The sequence below is a fragment of the Homo sapiens genome, chromosome 9 (genome assembly GCF_000001405.40).
Source record: "Homo sapiens chromosome 9, GRCh38.p14 Primary Assembly".
Classification (NCBI taxonomy): domain Eukaryota; kingdom Metazoa; phylum Chordata; class Mammalia; order Primates; family Hominidae; genus Homo; species Homo sapiens.
Window position 1 is genome coordinate 127,423,424 of NC_000009.12, and position 23,162 is coordinate 127,446,585.

Sequence of the window (23,162 nt, forward strand, 5' to 3'; positions counted from 1 at the left end):
TAGAGAAGGGCTAGCTCAAAGACATTTGTGAGTGTGGCTTCTCCGATGGAGCCAATCCCATTAAGATTCATAGGAAGACCCACAAAATTAAGAAACTTACACTGGCAAAAATGCCACCGGCTGTGATTGAAAGGGAAAGAGACAAGACAAAATGAAAAGGAGCCTTAGAATCCCCATACTCACTTATTTCCTGGGTAACCCAGTCCCCTCCCCTTAACGACAAAATGCCTATAAAAAGGAGCTGATCATCGAAAAATTGCTTAAGAAGTAATTTCCAAAGGGCTCGAGGGAAAGTCCATTGAAACATCCCCAGCCTGCAGCAGGGAAGCCCTTAAGGAACACAGGATTCAGGAATCTCCTCCCGCAGAAGTGCTGATCAAACACTGCCCCTGAAATGACTGAAGCAGTTCCCGCCGGCCGATAGGTTTTTATACTTTGAGGGTCCCAGGCCACCCACTCACGGCTGTCCTGTTCAGACTGAGGGACTTCTGATTTCCTTTAGTCTTCCCAAACTTTTAGTACGGCTCAAGAGGACCCTGAGAGTGGCTGGTGATTGCCCTGAGTGGAAGGCCAACGAGGGACAGGCGTACCGTGCGCAGAGAGCTGCGGAGAGGAAACCAAGCGCCTAGCGCCAGCGAAGATCGGCGCCCCTGTAAGCCCAGCATTCCCAGAATCCTTCGCGGCTAAATCTCTTCTTTTCCTCGAGGCTCCATTTCGTTGGATTCTGGTGGACTTTAAAGACGTGTGCAACAAAAAAGCACGATGGATAATAGATTCCGGGAGCAAGCACAGGCGGAAGCCTCTCTGGGAAGTACAATCCCTGAGCGTGTGTGTATCATAAACCGGGCTGCAGGAATGAAAAAGACTTTGGCCAGAAACAGAGCCCCGCGGCGACTTCTGGGAAATGGAGTCCGGTGTGGCCGCCGCGGGGCATGTGCGCATGACCGGAAGTGGCGCCAATCAGGCGCGTCCCTCTGGCGCTGGAGCCAGGACCTGGCGTTGGGCGGTACTTGGACAGCGGTTCTTGAGCTCTCGCGGTTGCCGGTAGATTGTTGCCAGTTGCCAGTTGCCAGTCGTTTTTCGGAAAGCTGGCAGCGGCTTTTTCACCGGGTTCTGCTTGAGGCCGAGCCAAAGAGTGGCTGTGACTCGGGAGACGGAGTGGAACACCCGGCTGGGCAGGCCCGGACAGCTCCCGCGACCCAGCACCGCAGGATCAGACCGTGCCTCTGCGGGGAGAGGCTGGAGAGGAAGAGTCCGGCCTGGGAGCCGTCAGAGCAGCCCTGCAGAACGGGGTGGGGGCTGCTGTAGATAGACCCTTACGCCCAGAGAACTGCTGGGAGGCTGTGGCGCGAGGCGGGACTCAAATGCTGGAGGAAGGAGGTGAGGAGTGGTAGAGGGAGCGATTGTCAAGAGATCGGCTGCTGCTTCGTTTGCCCACGACTGCCGCTGTGTGAGCCGAATCAGAACTCTCTTTATCTCTCCTACAGGTAGTTGGAGACAATCATTTTTTCTTTCTTTGCCCATGACACAGCCCCAGGAGATCCTGAGAACATGTGCCCCTACAGTCCTTTTTTGAGTAAAGAATTCGGGGGTCAAAAAAGTTTGAGGACCTCAGACTGCGTGATTTCTGAGTATTGTACCACGTACCCCAGTCTGCCCAGATGGACCAATGACAGTGGAGAGTAGGGAGAAGTGGGTTCCTGGGGACTCCTCTGTCACTTTTCTCCTTCTAGCCCTTCTCGAAGCAGCCAGGAATGCCTGGAAGCCCGGGAAAGTTTGGGGGCAGGCCAGCCCAGTAGGATTGTGAAGTTGTGGAGGACAGGGGAATTTGCAGTTAGAAGGCACAGGTTCTTGTGAAAGCTGTGAGGTACCAGCCAGGTCTCTTAACCTGTATTTCTCCATGGAAGAAAGGACAAAATAATGTTAACTACTTTGTTTACCTCTGAGAATTGTAATTCTCAAATGAAATAACACTTTTGAAAGCACCCTGAATGTGGTACAGAACAAATGTGTAAGCAGGCAACCTCTTTTAAGTCTTAACCACCAACACCTCTGCTGTTCACCCCTAGATCAACTGTATTTGGTCTTTTACTCTACAAGTGCAATTTTACATCCAGAATTTGGTGCTGTCCCCAAGATCAAGAGGTCCTTGTATTTGTTTTTTTTTGTTTGTTTTGTTTTGTTTTTGAGACAGAGTCTCGCTCTGTCGCCGAGGCTGGAGTGCAGTGGCGCAATCTCAGCTCACTGCAACCTCCGCCTCCCAGGTTCAAGCGATTCTCCTGCCTCAGCCTCCTGAGTAGCTGGGACTACAGGTGCCCGACACCAAGTCCAGCTAATTTTTGTATTTTTAGTAGAGACGGGGTTTCACCATGTTGGCCAAGCTGGCCTCAAACTCCTGACCTCAAGTGATCCACTGGCTTCGGCATCCCAAAGTGCTGGGATTACAGGCGTGAGCCACTGCTCCTGGCCAAGAGATCCTTATATTTGGTCTTGCACTTGAAGAGTAGAGAGTGCAATTTCACATCCAGTATTTTGTGTTATCTTCCCCAGACACCTGGGAAAGCAGAGCAGATGGGTCGTCATCTTCCCCATACTGCAAAACAGGAAAGGAAGTGCTGTCAGGTTAGATAACTCTCAGTAACAGAAGGTCTGTCCTAAGATCAGGATCCAGATCTATTTATTTATTTTATTCAGATATCATTCACATACCATAATATTCACCCTTTTAAAGTGAACAATTCAGTGGTTTTTAGTATTTTCACAAAGTCTTGCAACCATCACTATTTAATTCCAGAACATTTTTGTTATCTGAAGAAGAAACCCCATAGCCTGTAGCAGTGACTCCCCAGTCCCTCATTTCTCCACAAGTCACTGGCAACCACTAATCTGCTTTCTGTCACTATGGATTTGCCTAGGACATTTCAAATAAGTGGACTCATAATATGTGACTTTTTTTTTTTTTTTTTTTGAGACGGAGTTTTGCTCTTGTTGCCCAGGCTGGAGTGCGATGGTGCGATCTCAGCTCACCGCAACCTCCGCCTCCCGCGTTCAAGTGATTCTCCTGCCTCAGCCTCCCGAGTAGTTGGGATTACAGGCACCCGCCACCACACCCAGCTAATTTTTTGTATTTTTAGTAGACACAGGGTTTCACTGTGTTGGCCAGGCTGGTCTTGAACGCCTGACCTCAGGCAATCCACCTGCCAATATGTGACCTTTTGTGTCTCGCTTAGCACATCATTTTCAGGGTTCATCCAGGTTATAGCATGCGTCAGTACTTCATCCCTTTTTGTGGTAGAATGATATTCCATTGTATGGAGAGATCACATTTTGTGTATCCATTCTTCAGTGAATTTTTGTGTGTGTGTATGTTTGATTTCTCTTGGGCATATACTTAGAAGTGGAATTACTGCGTCATACAACCCTCTTTGACTTTCACAGGAACTGCTGAACTTTTTCCACTGTGGCGGCATCATTTTCTATTCTCAGCAGTGTATGAGGTTTCCAGTTTCCTTACATCCTCATCAACACTTGTTATTCTCCATCTTGTTTATTATAGTCATGTTAGTAGGTGTGATGTGTTCTCTCATTGTGGTTTTCATTTGCTTTTCCCCAATGACTAATGATGTTCAGTTTCATGTAGGGAGTGGCTATTTGTATCTCTTGCTTGGAGAAATATCTGTTCAAATCTTTTGCCCATTTAAGAATTTAGTAGGGCCAGGCACAGTGGCTCACACCTGTAATCCCAGCACTTTGGGAGGCCTAGGCAAGCAGATTACTTGAGGTCAGGAGTTCGAGACCAGCCTGGCCAACGTGGTGAAACCCCGTCTACTAAAAAAAAAAAAAAAAAAAGTTAGCCGGGCGTGGTGGTGCGTGCCTGTAATCCCAGCTACTTGGGAGGCTGAGGTAGGAGAATCGCTTGAACCTGGGAGGTGGAGGTTGCAGTGAGCCAAGATTGTGCCATTGCACTCTAGTCTGGGCAACAAAAGCGAAACTCCGTCTCAAAAAAAAAAAAAACACAAAACATACACACAGAAAATTATGTGCTACGCCAGCATTTCGGCCTCCCAAAGTGCTGGGATTAGAGGTGTGAGCCACTGTACCCAGTCAATAACTAAATTCTTTTTTTTTTTTTTTTTGAGGCAGAGTCTTGCTTTGTTGCCCACGCTGGAGCGTAATGGCGTGATCTCAGGTTACTGCAACCTCTGCCTCCTGGGCTCAAGCCATCTTTCCACCTCAGCCTCCCAGGTAGCTGGGCCTGCAGGCATGCGCCACCACGGCTAATTTTTGTATTTTTAGTAGAGATGGGGTTTCATTATGTTGCCCAGGCTGATCTCGAACTCTTGGGCTCCCTAAGTGCTGTGATTATAGATGTGAGTCGTTTTCACTCAGCCTCTTCACTTTCTTGACAGAGCCTGTTGGAGCACAAAGTTTTTAATTTTGAAGATATCCAACTTACCTATTTTCTCTTTTGCTGCTTGTGCTTTTGGTGTCATATCTAAGAAATCATTGCCTAATCCAACCTCTCAAAGATGTATGGTTTTCTTCTAAGAGTTCTACCCCTTTTTCTTTTTTTTTGAGATAGTGTCTCACTCTGTCAACCAGGCTGCAGTGTAGTGGTGTGATCACAACTTGCTGCAGCCTCGACCTCCCTGGCTCAAGCGATCCTCCCACCTCAGTCCCCCAAGTAGCTAGGGCTATGGGTATGCGCTACCAAGCCTGGCTAATTTTTGTATTTTTAATAGAGACGGGGTCTCGCCATGTTGCCCAGGCTGGTCTCGAACTCCTGGGCTCAAGCAGTCTGCCCACATCAGCCTCCCAAATTGCTGGGATTACAGGCATAAGCCACCGCACCTAGCCAAGAGTTACTTCTTAACTTTAGGTCTCTGATCTATTTTGGGTTAATTTTTATATATGGTGTGAAGTGAGACTCTCTGCCCAGCCCTCTTCTTTTCATTTAAGCAAATGCCTTAAATTTGCAGAGTCACTTTCTCCAAAGAACTAAGTAATAGATAATCTCTTTAAACTGTATACTTATGTGCTGGGCATTTGCCGACTGCTTTATCTGTATGTTCCTTTAATCTTCACAGCAGATTATCCCTTACAAGGGTTTATCATCCCCATTTTGCAGATGAGAAAAATGAGACTTAGAGAGGTTACGTGATTTGCACACTGCTGCTGAGTGGTGGATCATGGATACTTGAGAGTCTGTGAACACTCTAATGCCTCCCTACATCTGAGTGAGTTGATGGAATTTCTGAGGTAGGAGGGAATGGAGAAATTTACATCACACTACAGGTCTGCAGATTCAGCCCACGTGCCCTGATACCTGCTATGTCCCCTCTTCACAGTGAGAACTGGTGACTTCATAAACTGCTTTTAACATTATTAGTTTTTTTCTCTTTCTCTAGTACTGCCTTCCCCAGGCCCTGCCCTTCCCCAAGAGGAAAACACAGGAGAGGAAGGAATGGCTGCTGGTCTCCTCACAGCTGGGCCCCGGGTAAGTTGGAAATTAACTTTGGAAGGCATCCTTTTCTTCCCCCCTAATACTAATGGTAGGGTTGCCTTGTTTTTTGTTGTCATTGTTTGTTTTCTTTCTTTCTTTATTTTTTGAGACTGAGTCTCACTCTGTCGCCCAGGCTGGAGTGCAGTGGCATGATCTTGGCTCACTGCAACCTCCACATGCTGGGTTCAAGCAATTCTCTTGCTTCAGCTCCCAGGTAGCTGGGATTACAGGCACGCATCACCACACCCAGCTAATTTTTTTGTATTTTTAGTAGAGATGGGGTTTCACCATGTTGGCCAGGCTGGTCTCGAGGTCCTGACCTCAACTGATCTGCCCGACTTGGCCTCCCAAAGTGCTGGTATTACAGGTGTGAGCCACTGTGGTTGGCCTGTTTTATTATTTTTTTTTTTTTGAGACAGGGCTTCAGTCTGTCACCTAGAATGCAGCGCAGTGGTGAAATCACGACTCACTGCAGCCTCAACCTCCTGAGCTCAAGCAATCCTCCCACCTCAGCCTCCCAAGTAGCTGGGACCACAGGCTCGTGCCACCATGCCTAGCTAATTTTTTTTTTTTTTTTTAACTTTTGTAGAGTCAGGGTTTTGCCATGTTGCCCAGTCTGGTCTTGAACTCCTGGGCTCAAGCTATCCTCCAGCCTTTGCCTCCCAAAGTGCTGGGATTACAGGTGTGGGCCACTCCACCCCATCATTGTTGGTTTTGTTTTGTTTTGTTTTTTACAAGTTTTCTGCAATGAACAAAGTAATTCATGTTCCCCACAGAAAACCTGGAAAATAGAGAAAACACAAAAAGTTAAAAATCACTCTTAATCCCACAAAAAGATGGCACCTAACATTTTGATTTGTGTCCTCAGTCATATTCTCTCTTTTATTTCTTTTTCCTTTTTTTTTTTTTTGATGGAATCTTGCTCTGTCACCCAGGCCGGAGTGCAGTGTCACAATCTAGGCTCACTGCAACCTCCACCTCCCAGGTTCAAGCGATTCTCCTGCCTCAGCCTCCCAAGTAGCTGGAATTACAGGTGCGCCCTACCACGCCCAGCTAATTTTTGTATTTTTAGTAGAGATGGGGTTCACCATGTTGGCCAGGCTGGCCTGGAACTCCTGACCTCAAGTGATCTACCCGCCTCAGCCTCCCAAAGTGCTGGAACTATAGGTGTGAGCCACTGTGCCCAGGTCATATTCTCTCTTTTCTATATTTTTCCCAAAGTGGGTGTATTCTGCTCTGTAATGTTTTTATTTCCACTTACCAGAATTCGATGAACATTCTCCCATTTCACTGCATATTCTACCAAATCATTTCTAACACATTTTTTTTTCTTAAATAATTTCACCTTACTATTTTAGATTCGGGGGTATGTGTGCAGGGTTGTTAAATGGTTGTATTATATGATGCCAGGGTTTGGGGTACAGATGATGTACCATCACTCAGGTAGGGAGCATAGTACCCCATAGGCAGTTTTTCAGCTGATGCCCCCTTTCCTCTCTCCTCCCTCTAGTAGTCCCCAGCAGTTTTTGTTCCCATCTTTGTGTCCATATATACTTGGTATTTAGCTTCCCCACTTATCAATAAGAACATGCGGTATTTGGTTTTCTGTTCCTGCATTAATTCACTTAAGATAATGGACTCCAGATGCATCCATGTCACTGCAAAGGACATGACTTCATTTTTTATGGCTGCATCGTATTCCACATGTATTTCCTGTTCCACGTGTATATTTTCTTTATCTAGACCACCATTGGCAGGCACCTGGGTTGACTGCATGTCTTGGCTGTTGTGAACAGCACAACGAGGAACAAGCGCATGCATGCGTCTTTTGGTAGAATGATTTCTTTTCCTTTGAGTATTTACACAGTAATGGGATTGCCGGGTCGAATGGTAGCTCTGTTTTAAGTTTTTTGAGAAATCTCCAAACTGTTTTTCCGGAGTGACTGAACTAATTTAGTTAACTTTGCCATCAGCAGTGATAACCTTTCCCTTTTCTCTGCAGCCTCGCCAGCATCTGTTATTTTTTACTTTGTCATATTAGCCATTATTTCTGGTGTGAGAGAATATCTCGTCATGGTTTTGATTTGCATTTCTCTGGTGATTAGTGATGATGAGCATTTTTTTCGTCTCTTTTTTGGCCACTTGTATGTCTCTTAAGTGTGTCTGCTCATGTCTTTTGCCTGCTTTTTAACGTGGTTATTTGTTTTTTGTTTCTTGCTTTAAGTTCCTTATAGATTCTGGATATTAGACTTTTGTCAGTTGCAAACTTTTGATTATCTTTTCCTATTCTGTCAGTTGTGTATTGAGTCTGTTGATAGTTTCTTTTTCTTTTCTTTTTTTTTTTTTTAGAGACAGAGTCTCACTCTGTCACCCAGTCTGGAGTGCAGTGGCACAATCTCAGCTCACTGCAGCCTCCACCCCCCCAATGCTCAAGCGATTCTCGTGCCTCAGCCTCCTGAGTAGCTGGGATTACCACCAGACCCGGCTAATTTTTGTATTTTTAGTAGAGACGGGGTTTTTCCTTTTTGGCTAGGCTGTTCTTGAACTCCTAACGTCAGGCGATCCTCCTGCCTTGGCCTTCCAAAGTGCTAAGATTACAAGTGTGAGCCACTGTGCCTGACCCTAATAGTTTCTTTTGCTGTATAGAAGCTTTTTAGTCAGGTCCCACTTGTCAGTTTTTGTTTTTGTTGCAATTGCTTTTGAGGACTTAAGCCAAGGATTCTTTGCCAGAACCAAGGTCAAGAAGGGTATTTCCTTGGTTTTCTCCTATGGTTTTTATAGTTTAAGGATTTACATTTAAATCTTTAATCTATCTTGAGTTAATTTTTGTCGATGGTGAAAGGTAGGGGCCCAGTTTCACTCTTCTGCATATGGCTAGCCAGCTATCCCAGCATCATTGATTGAGTAGGGAGTCTTTTTCCCATTGCTTGTTTCTGTGGGCTTTGTTGAAGATCAGGTGGTTAGAGGTGTGCAACTTTATTTCCGGGTTCTCCTTTCTGGGTCTATGTGTCTGTTTTTGTCCCAGTGCTGTGCTCTCTAACACATTGTTTGTTTCACGTAGTCCTATGAGAGTAGGAACTGTCCTTTTTTCTTGACTAGGTAATTAGCTATTTATTTTCATTTTTAAAATTTGCTCTTGGATTTCCTTGTCAGTTCTGTTCTTTATTAATACATTTTTTTCTTTATTAATCTTTTGCTTCTGCTTTCCTCAGGTTTATTTTTAAATTTTTTTTTTTTTTTTTTGATGGAGTCTGACTGTCGCCCAGGCTGGAGTGCAGTGGCGCGATGTCGGCTCACTGCAAGCTCCGCCTCCCGGGTTCATGCCATTCTGCTGCCTCAGCCTCCCGAGTAGCTGGGAATACAGGCGTCCGCCACCACACCCGGCTAATTTTTTTGTATTTTTAGTAGAGACAGGGTTTCACCATGTTAGCCAGGATGGTCTCGATCTCCTGACCTCAGGTGATCCACCCGCCTCGGCCTCCCAAAGTGCTGGGATTACAGGCGTGAGCCACCACGCCCGGCCTAAAATTCATTTTTTAACTTCTTGAGTTGAATCCTTAACTCACCTTCTTCCTTGTTTACGTTGAAAGTTTTTGGCTATGTATTTTTTTTTTTTTTAGGTATTCTAAAATTATTATTTTGCTTTCTTTATCTGCCCATTTGGCTGGTCTGTGCTTTATGAGGATGGAGTTTGTGTCTCTTGTCAACAAAAAATGCCAGCACAGTCTGATTGCAGGGTATAGGGTTTGATAGCTCTGTCAGCTCAGCCTTATTAAATTGCTCCATCTTCCATATCTTTATTCTTTTTGTTGTTTATTCACTTTGGGCTGACTGTCAATGACTGGGTTATTTTAACATCTCTCAAAACCCTAATATTCTAAATTTCTCTTTGCATTTCCTGCAGCTTTTTCTTTACGTATTATATATTTTTGTTATTTGGTTCATGACATTTATATCTTTATAATGGATATTACTTTCCTGATTATTTTGAAGTTACACAAAGATTTTAAATATTTTTTAGTTTTTTGTATTTTTAGTAGAGATGGGGTTTCACCATGTTGGCCAGGGTGGTCTTGAACTCCTGACCGCAGGTGATCCACCTGCTTTGGCCTCCCAAAGTGCTGGGATTACAGGCATGAGCCATCGTGCCTGGCATAGATATTTCTTTGTTTTAAAAGATGACCCTCTTTGTTCCACTGAATGTACCTCTCGGTGTAATGAATGGATTGGAAGAGCAGGTAAAATCAGAGGCCTGGAGACTGGTTCCAATATGGAAATTGTTGCTGGTTTGCAAAGCAGTGGTAGGGGAGTGGAAATAATCGGGTGAATGAATTCTCATGATATTAGGAGGAAGAATCAATGGGGATTGATGCTGCGGGAAAGGAGAGGATAACACCCAGGTTGCTGGCTTGGCCAGCTAGGTGAACAGAGGCCCCATTCCCTGAGCTGGGAACAGACAAGGAACAGCAGGTGAAGATGGGTTTCTCTGTTGCATTTTGTTGAGTTTGAGGTTCCTGTGGGGCCTGACCAGGAAATGATTTCTGCCTTAGGTTAATACCGTGTGTTATCTCCTGATTCATTTCTTCCCTTTCCATCTGGCTACCCTTGTCCTCCCGCCCTGTACCTAGCAGAGGATGCATTACACAGAGTAGGTGCCGCTTTGTTACATGAACAGCTTTAGCTGACCTGTGTGCCTTACAGCTCCTGCCCAGAGTCTCCTAACTCCAGATCCGTGTTTTCACCTGTGATAGAACATCTACACCTGGATTTCCTATGGCCACCTTAAACTCTGTGGGCCCCAAAACAAACTAGTTACCTTGCTAACAGACCCTTTCTTCCCATGTTTCTTCTCTTTGTGATGACACTGTCATCTGTCTGCTCTTCCAAGCAGGAAACATCTTTGATTCATTCTCAGCTCTTCTCTCACAAAGTTCATTTCTGGCCTTGCATCTAGTCCCTCTCCTCAAGCAGGATCCTCTCTCAACTTGACACTGACACTGTTGGAGTCCTTAAAACCACCTCTCCATGCCTCCATCTCAAGACACAGTTGCCTTCCAGCGGCTCCCTGTTGCCTGAGGGATAAAAGCATCACATTTATCAAGTGATTCAAGGCTTTTTACATTCTGACCTCAACAACCTTTCTACCACTCTTCATCCCCCCACCCAAACTGCCTGCCATTTCCTAAACACACGAGGACTGTGTCACCTCCATGCTTCTGCTCATGGTGCCTCTCCTGCCTTGGATAGCCTTCTCTTGCTCCATCCGCGAACCTTCTCCTTCAAGGCCAGCTCAGTAATTGCCTTCTCTCTGTGGTCCTCCCTCCCCGCCTTCCTGTTCTCCTGGCAACTAGTCTGTGTTTCTTTGACTTGTGCTACATTTGATTGTGCTCATACCTGGCTCTCCTGCTGTACTGGGTGATATCTGCATTCACAGAAATATTTGTTAAATGTTCTGAAAATTCATCTTTCACATTTCTTTGATAATTTGTACCTGATTCTTCACTGTATCAACTCACATTCTAATTTCGCTCTTTCTATATTACCTCTTCAAGTCCCAAGCACCCATTAATTTTTGCCCAGTTACTTCACACGCATACACACGCTCTATTTATACATAAAGTCTATTTATACATAAATGTGTGAAGACAAGAGACAGTGGTGTGTGTGTGTGTATGTGTGAAATTATCATAGTGTTAGGCACTGCAATGCTGGTGATCAATAAATGCTTTCTCCGTTTTTTGAGACAGAGTCTTGCCGTGTCACACAGGCTGGAGTGCAGTGGCGTGATCTCGGCTCACTGCAACCTCTGCCTCCCGGGTTCAAGCAATTCTTCTGCCTCAGCCTCCTGAGAAGCTGGGATTACAGGCACGCACCACCACGCCCAACTAATTTTTGTATTTTTAGTAGAGACAGGGTTTTGCCGTGTTGGCCAGGCTGGTCTTGAACTCCTGGCCTCAAGTGATCCGCCTGCCTCACCTCTTGGCCTCCCAAGGCGCTGGGAGTACAGGCGTGAGCCACCGCACCTGGCCATTTTCTTCAACTACCCAGAGACCTGAATCTTTTCAAAGACTTTTCCAGCTCCCCCAAAACTGCCAACGTTAACCACCCCTATCACCCTAGATCCTAAGGCCACTGGCAAGATGAAATGTGCTTGTTTTTTCAGGGATCCACATTCTTCAGCAGTGTGACGGTAGCTTTTGCACAGGAAAGGTGGAGGTGCCTCGTGTCTACTCCACGGGACAGGTTCAAGGAGGGGATACCAGGAAAGTCCAGGAGCCTTGTCCTACTAGGTAAGGAAACTGTTTCTTTAAGATTTAGAATCACTCAATTCTGAAAATCTGTGGCACTTGCTTTCCAGCATGTAGGGGTTTCTGACTGGTGTGATGTACCAGAGGGATGGTGTTTATTCCTCTTGTTCTCTTGGGGAAGGTCTCTGCATGCTCACTTGGCAAATAGGCAGTTTCCCTTTGCTTTCTCTAAGGCTGCACCTCCCCATTCTCTCATTTCGCAGGAGGGGTGGGGTAACCCTCAGGTCATTTCCTCTATGTTCAGTACGTTTCCATCTTCCTAAATTGGGGACTTGGGAGTTTAGCTTAGCTCCCTGGCTTGACCCCTCCTTGAGGCTGTTTCCTAGCTCCTTCCAGAAACGTTTTATGTAGCCTTGGCATGGCTGGGTGAGGTGGCTCACACCTGTAATCCCAGCATTTTGGGAGGCCAAGGTGGAACAGTCACCTGAGACCAGCCTGAGGAACACAGTGAGACCCTGCCTCTAAAATTAAAAGGATGTTTAAAAAGACCTTGGCACCATGTCTCTTATGTACTGCTATAGCCCCTGGTGTAGGCACTAAGTAAGAGCTCAATAAGGATTTGTTGGCTGAATGAAATGAACAGTCCAACTGGCCTACTTGCTCTCTCCTGAGTTCTGGGTGGCTGTTCATACTTACTTACAATTTCTAAAGCCTGTTTTTTCCCGTTGAATAGGACTTCCAGTTTCCCAGCCTGGCATGAACTCCCAGTTGGAACAAAGGGAAGGCGCATGGATGCTGGAGGGCGAAGACCTGCGAAGTCCCTCTCCAGGTATGTGAGCAAGCACTTAGCCAGTGGGAGTCTTGGGAGCAAAAGCGCCTTTAAATCACGCATGAGTGTATTTGATTATCATAACAACTGTGAGGTAGGCGCTATTACCCCCATTCTACAGATGAGGAAATGGAGCTGAGAAAGGCTGGCTCACTGGTTCAAAGCTTCACAGCTAGATAGTGGCAAGGCTGGGATTTGAAGCAAGCTCTGTCTGCCTCTAAAACACACTCTTCCTCACCTCATCCTTATGGAGGCTGCCAGGGCCAGGAGGTGTTTGGGGGCACGTGTGATGTTCCTGGCCTCTAAAGAGTATCCTTCCTTATTGTTGGGAAGCAAGAGTCATCTTTGCTGGCACATTCCCTGCTTGGGGTCTCCCTCACTGAGGATCCTAGGTGCCACCTTTACCCATGCCACTGGGTGTCACAGTTCCTGCTGCCACCCCATCTGGCCCCTTAATTCATTCTGCTCCTGCTTTCTCACTGCGTGGCCATGCCAGAATTTTCCAAAGGGCTGATACTAAGAAACTCAGGGAAAACAGAAGGAAAGGAGACCATAGTTTCCACTGCGTCTCTCTTACCACCCACGTACAGCTGCTCTCTCCCCTAATCTCTCTCAGCCTCTGCCTTGGTGCCACCTCTGGCAGGGCCTCAGCAGCTTTTCCCTGGGGACCCAGTCACTTTTGAATGTTTGAGACTTAAGACATCAAAGGTACAAATGAATTAAACCACTTTGAGGTGACAACATTTGACATGTTTCTAAAGATGCAGCCTGGGCCAGGTGCAGTGGCTCACGCCTGTAATCCCAGCACTTGGGGAGGCCGAGGCAGGTGGATCACCTGAGGTTAGGAGTTCAAGACCAGCCTGGCCAACATGGTAAAACCCCATCTCAACTAAAAATACAAAAAAATCAGCTGGGCGTGGTGGCGGGCACATGTAATGCCAGCTACTTCAGGAGGCTGAGGCAGGAGAATCACTTGAACCTGGGAGGCAGAGGTTGCAGTGAGCCGAGATTGTGCCATTGCACTCCAGCCTGGGTGACAAGAGTGAAACTCTGTCTTAAAAAAAAAAAAAAAAAAAAAGAAGATGCAACCTGTCTGTTTGTTGCTTTATTTCTTGAGTTATAAGTTATTGCTGCTGATAGGGCAATGGGCACAAGCCCCTGGAGCATTCTTTGCATGGTTCCCTGGAGCTGCCTCTTCTCCTTCCCATCTTACCATCCTCTAAGCAGACTGTTGCATGTTACCTCCCCCTCATGGTGTGCCTGGCACTACTCATGCTTGTTGACACTGCCTGTGGCAGGGAGCCTCCCTGGCCCTGCTGCTTCCTTCTCTCAAGGCCCCCCCCCGCTGCCTGGGCATCTCTGTGTTCTATATAGTCTATACAGAGGACTGAAGTCCTCTGTGGAGCTTCAGAAATTGAGAGCAGTGTTTAGTGGCGAGGGGAACAACTGCCTTTTTCTGGGAAGAGTGTTCATCATAGTCTCAGAGGGGTTCAAGACCCTGAAAAGGTCGCTGTATTAGTTTTTTGGGGCTCTCATAAGAAATAACCACAAACTGGGTGGACTAAAACAATAGCAGTTGATTCGCTCACAGTTCTGGAGGCTAGAGGTCTGAAACTGAGGTGTCAGCAGGCCTGGGCTCCCTCTGCAGGCTCTGGGAAGGATCTTCCTTGCCTCTTTCTAGTTTCCGGTGGTTGCCCGCAATCTTCGGCATTTGTTGGCTTTTAGCTGCATCACGCCAATCTCTGTCCCTGTCAGCATGTGGCATTCTCGATCTGTGTCTGGATTTCCTTCTTTTTAGGGCATTAAAATACCCCAATCCAGTGTGGCCTCATTTTAGCTTGATTACATCTACAAAGACCTTGTTTCCAAGCACAGACACATTCTGTATTTTGAGGTTGACATGATGTGGGGGCACTGTTCACCCCAGTACAGTGGCCCCAAAGGTTAAAATCACCACATCGTTAGAAACAGGAGTTGGAAAGGGGCATTTCCACCAAGAAGGTGCTCTGAGGCAGCAGTGTAGGGCAGTAGAAGCAGCTCTTGGTGTGGGTGCCCCTGAGCGGAAAACCACAACCTCTGCCCTTACGCACAGCAGGAGTCAACATAGGAGGCTTCTGCCAGCAGAGAGGACTGAGGTTTTCCCCCACACACCAAGCAAGCAGACACCGTCTACCTGGAGATAGCATCAGATCCCACTAGTTGAGGGCTCAGTCCCACAAGGCACCCCCTGCCCCTTCCCACCAGTCGCAAGTCCAGGCCTCCAGAACTACACTGGCTTCAGATTGGGGTTCCCACGACCCCCCTTTGGATTACATTAATTTATTAGAGAAAGGACACAGAACTTGGGGAAGCACTTATTTTAGAAAAGATGAAGATGAAGAGATGCATGGGACGAGGGGTGGGGAAGGTGCAGGGAGCTTTCATGCCTTCCCTGGGCCGCCGCCCTGCAGGAGCCTCCATGTGTTCAGCTCTCTGGAAGCTCTCTAAACCCTGCCCTCCTGGGCCTTTGATTCATTGGATAGGCGTGATTGAAACACGGACAGCATGTTGAGATGAGATTGGACAGAAAGGGTCTGACTGAACACTGTAGACTGAGTGAGGACACCTGGCAGAGCCTGTCCGTGCGGATTCTTCCTGGCCTCTGTGCAGCATTCCTTCCTCCAGGGTATGGGGCAGGATCTTCTCTGAAATGGGGGTCGTAAGGCCCACAATCACATTAGAGTCCTGCTCGGGCAGGTGAAAGAAGGGCAGGGGGAGGTCAGAGAGAGAGATTCTGTTTCTGAGGCCTAAAGTGCTCTTACGTTTTAACAAAAGACTGTAGCAATGGCTGGGCGCAGTGGCTCACGCTTGTAATCCTAGCACTTTGGGAGGCCGAGTTGGGCAGATCACCCGAGGTCAGGAGTTTTGAGACCAGCCTGGCCAACATAGGGAAACTCCATCTGTACTAAAAATACAAAAATTAGCTGGGCATGGTAGCACATATCTATAGTCCCAGCTACTAGGGAGGCTGAGGCACGAGAATCGCTTGAACCCGGGAGGCAGAGACTGCCATGAGCCAAGATCGTGCCACTGCACTCCAGCCTGGGCGACTAAGCGAGACTCTGTCACAAAAAAAAAGAAAAAGAAAGACTGTAGCAGTGGCTATGGGAGTTATGAGCCAGGAACTGTGGGTGAAATACACACACACACACACACACACACAACGCGCACACACACACATATACACGTATATCTCATATCTCGGTGAATATGAAAGACACATAATCCCTGCTTGCCATGCATTAACTACATGGATTCCAGGCACACCACTGAATTATGTAGTCATGTTTCCATATATGAAAAATGTAGATGATAAAATCTTTCTTATTTCACCAATTAACATATATCTGAAAAAAATTGTCAACTGTAGAGTTATATAAGCTATATGATAGTGAACAGAAGTCGTCAGGGGCAAGTTTCCACTCTAGCTATTAGAGGAGTTCAACATGGCCTCTGTTCTAACTCACAGCATGTCCTGGGCATCACTGTGCCTCTGAGGGCTGGGTTTGGGCCCTGGGTTATTCTACCCTACCCCTCCCAAGTGACAGACCCAGGAGTTGAAAGTGCCATTCTCCCTGCTGCTCACTTTAGGGACTTCTGTGGTGGGTGTTAACACTTTCGCAGACCCTGCTGGCCAGTTCTACTCATTCTGATTCATTGAATCATTCATCAATCAGCAAATGTGCCTTAAGCATTTGGTACATACCTGGCATCATTTTAGCTGCCATGGGTAATATGTATTCCCTTTGTTGAGTGGGGATGAAGACGTAGTTTCTGCTTACATCTTCGTGAAGGACATAAACTGAGCAAACAATAACTAATCTACTTTTTTTTTCTTGAGACGGAGTCTCATTCTGTCTCCCAGGCTGGAGTGCAGTGGCGCGATCTCAGTTCACTGCAAGCTCCACCTCCCGGGTTCATGCCATTCTCCTGCCCCAGCCTCCCGAGTAGCTGGGACTACAGGCACCCACCACCACGCCCGGCTAATTTTTTGGATTTTTAGTAGAGACGGGGTTTCACCGTGTTAGCCAGGATGGTCTCGATCTCCTGACCTCGTGATCTGCCTGCCTCGGCCTCCCAAAGTGCTGGGATTACAGGCATGAGCCACCGCGCCCGGCCCACTAATCTACTTTTTATGGTGATGAGTTGTGTGAAGAAAATAAAGCTGCGCAAGGGATTAGTGACTGGGGCACAAGGCTGAGTCGGGAATAGAAGGGAGGGAGCTGTTTGGGAGCTGATGAAGAGGAAAGACTCTTTGGAGGTGACATGGGAGCTGAGATCTGAAGGAAGGGGATGAGCCAGCTGTTTGGAGGAGACCTAGGAGAGGAACATTCTGGGCCACAGCGTATGTTGAGACCTTAATGTGGGAATGAGCTTGCTTAAGGATTAGAAGACCTGTGTGGCCAGAGCTTAGTAAACACGAGGAAGAGTGGTGTGCAGGGGACAGATTGTGTGGGGCCACTGGAGCCATGGTAAGGCGTTTGGGTTTTAGTCACCTAAGAAAATAAGCCATTAAAGAGTTTTGATGCAGGGAAGGGATGAGATTTATGTTTGAAAAGAGTTCAGCATTTGGCAAGTGACACTGGTGAAAAAAATGAAAAAGAATTCAGCGTTATGTGTGAAGAATGGACATTCGAGGCTCAGGCATGGGAGCGGGGAGGTCAGTTAGGAGGCGGCTCTTGCAGACATGGGAATGTGAGGTGATGGTGGCCTGTAAGAGAGGGGTCAGGACATATTTTGGTGTTAAAGCCAACAGGACTTGCTGGTGGATTGGATGTGAGATGTAGGGGAGGTGGCATTAAGGATGACCCTAGGTTTTGGCCTGAACAGTTGGGTAAGTAGGAAGATTAACAAAGGCGCTGGGTTAAAAGGGAGATCAGTAGCTCTGTTTGGGGTGTGTCAGGCCTGAGATGTCATCAGACAGTCTTCTACTGGAGCCAGCACTCGAGAGAGGTGAGCTGAGGGACAGGCCATTTGTGAGCATCATGTGGTCCTCTGAATTGCCCCTTCTTCCCATGGCTTCTTGTCACTCTTCCTCTCCTTTTGATTTTTTTTTACTCAAATAGATGGTCTGCTTTTAAAAACTGTCAAACCCATAGATGATCGGACCCCAAGTTACACAGAGACGCTCTCAGCCTGCAGTGGGGCCTCTGTGCTCTTGGTGGACTGGGGGCATTGGTGTGCACTTGCAGTTCTGAGGGAAGCCTACTTAATGCTTTAGGATGGTTTATAAGGAGAAGGTACAGAATAACAAGAACCATGCAGATAGCACTTACTGTGTCTCAACTACCATTCTGGGTCCTTTATGTGTCTTAACTCATTTAATCCTCACAGTGATTCTGTGAGGGAGCTGCTTTCACAGGTGATAAATCCAAGGTTTCAAAAGATTACACAATTTTCCCAAAGTCACAGAGCACGTAAGAGGTGGAGCCCAGATTTGAACCCAGCCAGTCTGGTTGAAGACTGTGTATAGAAATTCAAGGAAACAGTTGGGCGTGGTGGCTCACACCTGTAATCCGAGCACTTTGGGAGTCTGAGGTAGGTGAATCACCTGAGGTCAGGAGTTCGAGACCAGCCTGACCAACATGTTGAAACCCCATCTCTACTAAAAATACAAAATTGGCTGGGTGCGGTGGCTCATGCCTGTAATCCCAGCACTTTGGGAGGCCGAGGCAGGCAGATCACAAGGTCAGAAGATCGAGACCATCCTGGCTAACACGGTAAAACCCTGTCTCTACTAAAAATCCAAAAAATTAGCCGGGCGTGGTGGCGGGAGCCTGTAATCCCAGCTACTTGGGAGGCTGAGGCAGGAGAATGGCATGAACCCGGGAGGCAGAGCTTGCAGTGAGCCGAGATTGTGCCACTGCACTCCAGCCTGGGTGACAGAGTGAGACTCCGTCTCAAAAAAAAAAAAAAAATACAAAATTAGCCGGGTGTGGTGGCGCATGCCTGTAATCCTAGCTACTTGGGAGGCTGAGGCAGGAAAATTGCTTGAACCCAGGAGGTGGAGGTTGCAGTGAGCTGAGATCACACTATTGCACTCCAGCCTGGGCAGCAAGAGCGAAGCTCCATATTAGGCCGGGTGTGCTAGCTCATGCCTGTATTTCCAGCACTTTGGGAGGCCGAGGTGAGTGGATCACCTGAGGTCAGGAGTTTAAGATCAGCCTGGCCAACATGGTGAAACCCTGTCTTTACCAAAAATACAAAAATTAGCCAGGCATGGTGGCGGGCACCTGTAATCCCAGCCACTTGGGAGGCTGAGGCAGGAGAATTGCTTGAACTCAGGAGGCGAAGGTTGCAGTGAGCCAAGATAGCACCATTGCACTCCAGCCTGGGCAACAAGAGTGAAACTCCATCTCAAAAAAAAAAAAAAGAAAAGAAAAGGTATGGTAAAAATACAGTATAAAAGATAAAAAATGGTACACCTGTATAGGGCACTTACCATGAGTGGAGCTTGCAGGACTCTGGGTGAGTGGGTAAGTGGTAGATGGATGTGAAGGCCGAGGGCATTGCTGTACATAGACTTTAGAAACACTGTGCACTTAGGCTACACTAAGTTTACTTTACACATTTTTCTTTGGGAGGCTGAGGCGGAGGATCCCTTGAGCCCAGGAGTTTGAGACCAGCCCAGGCAACTTGGCAAAACCCTATCTCAGCAAAAAATACAAAAATTAGCTGGATGTGGTAGCATGGGCCTGTAGTCCCAGCTGCTCAGAGGCTGAGGTGGGAGGATCAATTGAGCCCAGGAGGTCGAGGCTGCAGTGAGCCATGATCGTGCCACCATGCTTCAGCCTGGGTGACAGTGAGATCCTGTCTCAAAATCTGTGTGTGTGTGTGTGTGTGGCACTATTTTTTACTTTTTAAACTCTTGTTAAAAACTAAGAAACTCACACATTAGCCTAGACCTAACAGGATCATGCGTATCACTGTCTCCACCTCCACATCTTGTCCAACTGGAAGATCTTCAGGGGCAATAACAAGCACGAAGCTGTCATCTCTAAGATAACAATGCCTTCTGGAAAACCTCCTGAAGGACCCGCCTGAGGCTGTTTTACAGATAACTTTGTTGTAGTGGAAGGAGTACAGTGTAAAATAACTATTAAAAGCATAGTATAGGCTGGGTGTGGTGGCTCACACCTATAATCCCCAGCACTTTGGGAGGCTGAGGCAGGAGGGTCGCTTGAGTCCAGGAGTTCGAGACCAGCCTCTCCAAAATATCAAAATTACCCAGGCATGGTGGTATGCTCCTTTAGTTCCAGCTATTCAGGAGGCTGAGGTGGCAGGATTGCTTGAGCCCAGGAGGTTGAGGCTGCAGTGAGCTGTGACTGTGCCACCGCCCTCCAGCCTGAGTGAGACTCTGTCTCAATTAAAAATATATATTAAGTATAGTAAATATATAATCTGGTAACATAGTTGTTTATTAAGTATTATGTGCTGTACTTTCATATGACTGGCAGCGCAGTAAGTTTATTTACACCAGCATCACCACAAACGTGAGTAATGTGTTGCACTATGACATTACGATGGCTTTGAATTCAGTAGGTAGTAGGCTCCATTACACCCTTATGAAAGGAGGTGGCTGGGCGCGGTGGCTCACGCCTGTAATCCCAGTACTTTGGGAGGCCGAGGCGGGTGGATCACGAGGTCAGGAAATCGAGACTATCCTGGCTAACACGGTGAAACCCCGTCTCTACTAAAAATACAAAAAATTAGCTGGGCCTGGTGGCAGGAGACTGTAGTCCCAGCTACTCGGGAGGCTGAGGCAGGAGAATGGCGTGAACCCAGGAGGCGGAGGTTGCAGTGAGCTGAGATCGTGCCACTGCACTCCAGCCTGGGCGACAGAGCGAGACTCCGTCTCAAAAAAAAAAAAAAAAAAAAAAGGAGATGAGTCATCAAACCTGTGTGTGTAAGAGCTTGGCCAGACTCCTTCAGCCTTTGGTATTCCTTCCACCAAGGGAACACAACAGCTTTTCATTTTTTTTTCAGGCTGGAAGATTATATCTGGATCACCACCAGAGCAAGCCCTTTCTGAAGCTTCATTCCAAGACCCATGTGTAGAGATGCCCCCTGGGGATTCAGACCACGGGACCAGTGACCTTGAGAAGAGCTTCAATCTGAGACCAGTCCTCTCTCCGCAACAGAGAGTGCCCGTGGAAGCGAGACCTCGCAAATGTGAGACACACACCGAGAGCTTCAAGAACTCGGAAATCCTGAAACCTCACAGAGCAAAACCATATGCATGTAATGAATGTGGCAAAGCCTTCAGTTACTGTTCTTCCCTTTCTCAGCATCAGAAGAGCCACACTGGAGAGAAGCCCTATGAGTGCAGTGAATGTGGGAAGGCCTTCAGCCAGAGCTCATCTCTCATTCAGCACCAGAGGATTCACACTGGAGAGAAGCCTTACAAGTGCAGTGAATGTGGAAGAGCCTTCAGCCAGAACGCCAACCTCACCAAACACCAGCGAACCCACACCGGAGAGAAGCCCTACAGATGCAGCGAGTGTGAGAAAGCCTTCAGTGACTGCTCAGCTCTTGTTCAGCATCAGAGAATTCATACCGGAGAGAAGCCCTACGAATGCAGCGACTGTGGGAAGGCCTTCCGTCACAGTGCAAACCTCACGAACCATCAGAGGACTCACACCGGGGAGAAGCCCTACAAGTGCAGCGAGTGTGGGAAGGCCTTCAGTTACTGCGCAGCGTTCATTCAGCACCAGAGGATTCACACCGGGGAGAAGCCCTACAGATGTGCCGCGTGTGGGAAGGCCTTCAGCCAGAGTGCAAACCTCACAAACCATCAGAGGACTCACACTGGGGAGAAACCCTACAAGTGCAGCGAGTGTGGGAAGGCCTTCAGCCAGAGTACCAATCTCATAATCCACCAAAAGACCCACACCGGGGAGAAGCCATATAAATGTAATGAATGTGGGAAATTCTTCAGTGAGAGCTCAGCCCTCATTCGGCATCATATAATCCACACCGGAGAAAAACCTTATGAGTGTAATGAGTGTGGTAAAGCGTTTAACCAGAGCTCATCCCTTAGTCAGCATCAGAGAATCCACACAGGCGTGAAACCCTACGAATGCAGCGAGTGTGGGAAGGCCTTCCGGTGCAGCTCTGCCTTCGTTAGACATCAGAGACTCCACGCCGGAGAGTAACTAGGAACATGGTAGAAGTGGAGAGAGTCCCGGACATGCCGACTCAGGACAGGTGGGTGAGGATCTGAGAAATGCTAAAGGCTTGAAAGCATCTGAAGACATCTAACTTAGAGTCTGCAGCCCAGAGCCACATGCAAAACACCTTCAATAAACAGCCACTATTTCACATGCTGTATATGGACGCTCAGCTCTCCATCAAAAGATCAGGGCTCCACTCAATTGCAGGTTTGCCTTTATTCAGGTAGTGGGCCAAAGCACTTTATTTGGTAAGCAATCCAGAAACCTGAGTTTATTCAGAGTAAGTGACCAAATCAATGAGTAAAAGAACTTGGCTCCTACATCAAAGCCAAGTCTTTGGGCAATGCTGGCAGTTTCTCCTGGAAGTAATGAGAAATGTTGTGAAAGAACTCAGCGCATTGGCCAGAAATGATTGAAAAACCATCAAATTTGGGGCAGCAGGAGGTGTAAATACAAGTGAGAAAAGGGATTCTAGAGCCACCTATGAAATACCACAATCTCCTTGAGGTGGGGAACATTCCTTGATGTTCCAAAACTGAGAAAAGCACACCCAGGGCCAGTCTTTGTAGAGTTTGTTGCTGTTAAGAGCCCACCCAGGCAGATCACAAGGTCAGGAGTTTGAGACCAGCCTGACCAACATGGTGAAACCCCATCTCTACTAAAAATACAAAAACTTGCCCGGTATGGTGGCATGTGCCTATAATCCCAGCTACTCAGGAGGCTGAAGCAGGAGAATCACTTGAACCCAGGAGGCAGAGGTTGCAGTGGGCCAAGATTGCAACACTGCACTCCAGCCTGGGCAAGAGCGAGACTCCATCTCAACAAAAAAAGAGCACACACATCTCAACAAAAAAAGAGGCTACTGGTGTTGAGGGTAGAGCTTGCTGCTAATGAACCAAGAGGCACATCCTTTTCCATGGAGAATAGGAAGCCCCGAGAATGGGGAGGTGTGTGACAGCCATGCTGGACTCAGAGGCAGGTGTCATAAACTGCCCCAGGCTCCTCATTCTCCCTTCTCCCTCATGGAGAACAGTTGTGTTCCCCTTGTATTATAGATCCAGATTTTTGCCTTTGGCCTGCTTACTGTCTGTTTCCTTGGTGACTTGGTAGTCCCTTCTAGGACACTGGAATGCTTTTGTGCCAGCCCCTCACTCTCGTCACCTAGGCTGGAGTGCAGTGGTACAATCATAGCTTGCTGAAGTCTCCACTCCTGCACCCTCCTACCTCAGCATCCTAAGTAGCCAGGCACACACACCACCATACCCAGCTAGTTTTTTGGAGAAAAGTGTCTGGCTATGTTGCCCAGGCTGGTCTTAATTCCTGACCTCAAGGAATGCTCCTGCCACAGCCTCCCAAAGTGCTGGGATTGA

At 47.4% G+C, this 23,162-nt stretch overlaps 1 protein-coding gene across 6 annotated transcripts, besides 4 other annotated features; it reads left to right on the top strand.

The window, feature by feature from the left end:
• Positions 46 to 988: an enhancer, noted in NCBI's record as "H3K27ac hESC enhancer chr9:130185748-130186690 (GRCh37/hg19 assembly coordinates)". NCBI's record gives its function as "activates a minimal SCP1, AML or CMV promoter by ChIP-STARR-seq in naive H9 embryonic stem cells {active_cell/tissue: H9 hESC(naive)}" and the evidence as "EXISTENCE:reporter gene assay evidence [ECO:0000049][PMID:30033119]".
• Positions 46 to 1,277: a biological region, named in NCBI's record as "H3K27ac hESC enhancer GRCh37_chr9:130185748-130186690".
• Positions 718 to 907: an enhancer, noted in NCBI's record as "active region_29038". NCBI's record gives its function as "activates an Ori minimal core promoter by ATAC-STARR-seq in GM12878 lymphoblastoid cells {active_cell/tissue: GM12878}" and the evidence as "EXISTENCE:reporter gene assay evidence [ECO:0000049][PMID:35858748]".
• Positions 928 to 1,277: an enhancer, noted in NCBI's record as "active region_29039". NCBI's record gives its function as "activates an Ori minimal core promoter by ATAC-STARR-seq in GM12878 lymphoblastoid cells {active_cell/tissue: GM12878}" and the evidence as "EXISTENCE:reporter gene assay evidence [ECO:0000049][PMID:35858748]".
• On the top strand, positions 959 to 21,949 carry ZNF79 (zinc finger protein 79). Of its 6 annotated transcripts, none has more exons than NM_001322260.2 (6): positions 959 to 1,487; positions 5,129 to 5,259; positions 5,409 to 5,497; positions 11,667 to 11,793; positions 12,485 to 12,580; positions 20,606 to 21,949. In NM_001322260.2, the coding sequence occupies exons 3-6, from the start codon at positions 5,465 to 5,467 to the stop codon at positions 21,772 to 21,774; spliced, it is 1,425 nt and encodes a 474-aa protein (NP_001309189.1). In that variant the 5' UTR covers positions 959 to 1,487; positions 5,129 to 5,259; positions 5,409 to 5,464; the 3' UTR covers positions 21,775 to 21,949. The 6 variants fall into 6 exon arrangements, with proteins under 6 accessions (NP_001309189.1, XP_006717342.1, NP_001273626.1 ...); XM_006717279.4 differs by having other exon boundaries at positions 5,129 to 5,237; NM_001286697.2 differs by having other exon boundaries at positions 959 to 1,380; positions 5,129 to 5,237.

Bases quoted from the DNA above. Each gene is read 5' to 3' on its own strand.
- ZNF79 (NM_007135.3), top strand. The intron at 5,498-11,666 runs GTAAGTTGGAAA...TTGTTTTTTCAG, and splicing joins TCCTCACAGCTGGGCCCCGG to GGATCCACATTCTTCAGCAG. The intron at 12,581-20,605 runs GTATGTGAGCAA...TTTTTTTTTCAG, and splicing joins CCTGCGAAGTCCCTCTCCAG to GCTGGAAGATTATATCTGGA.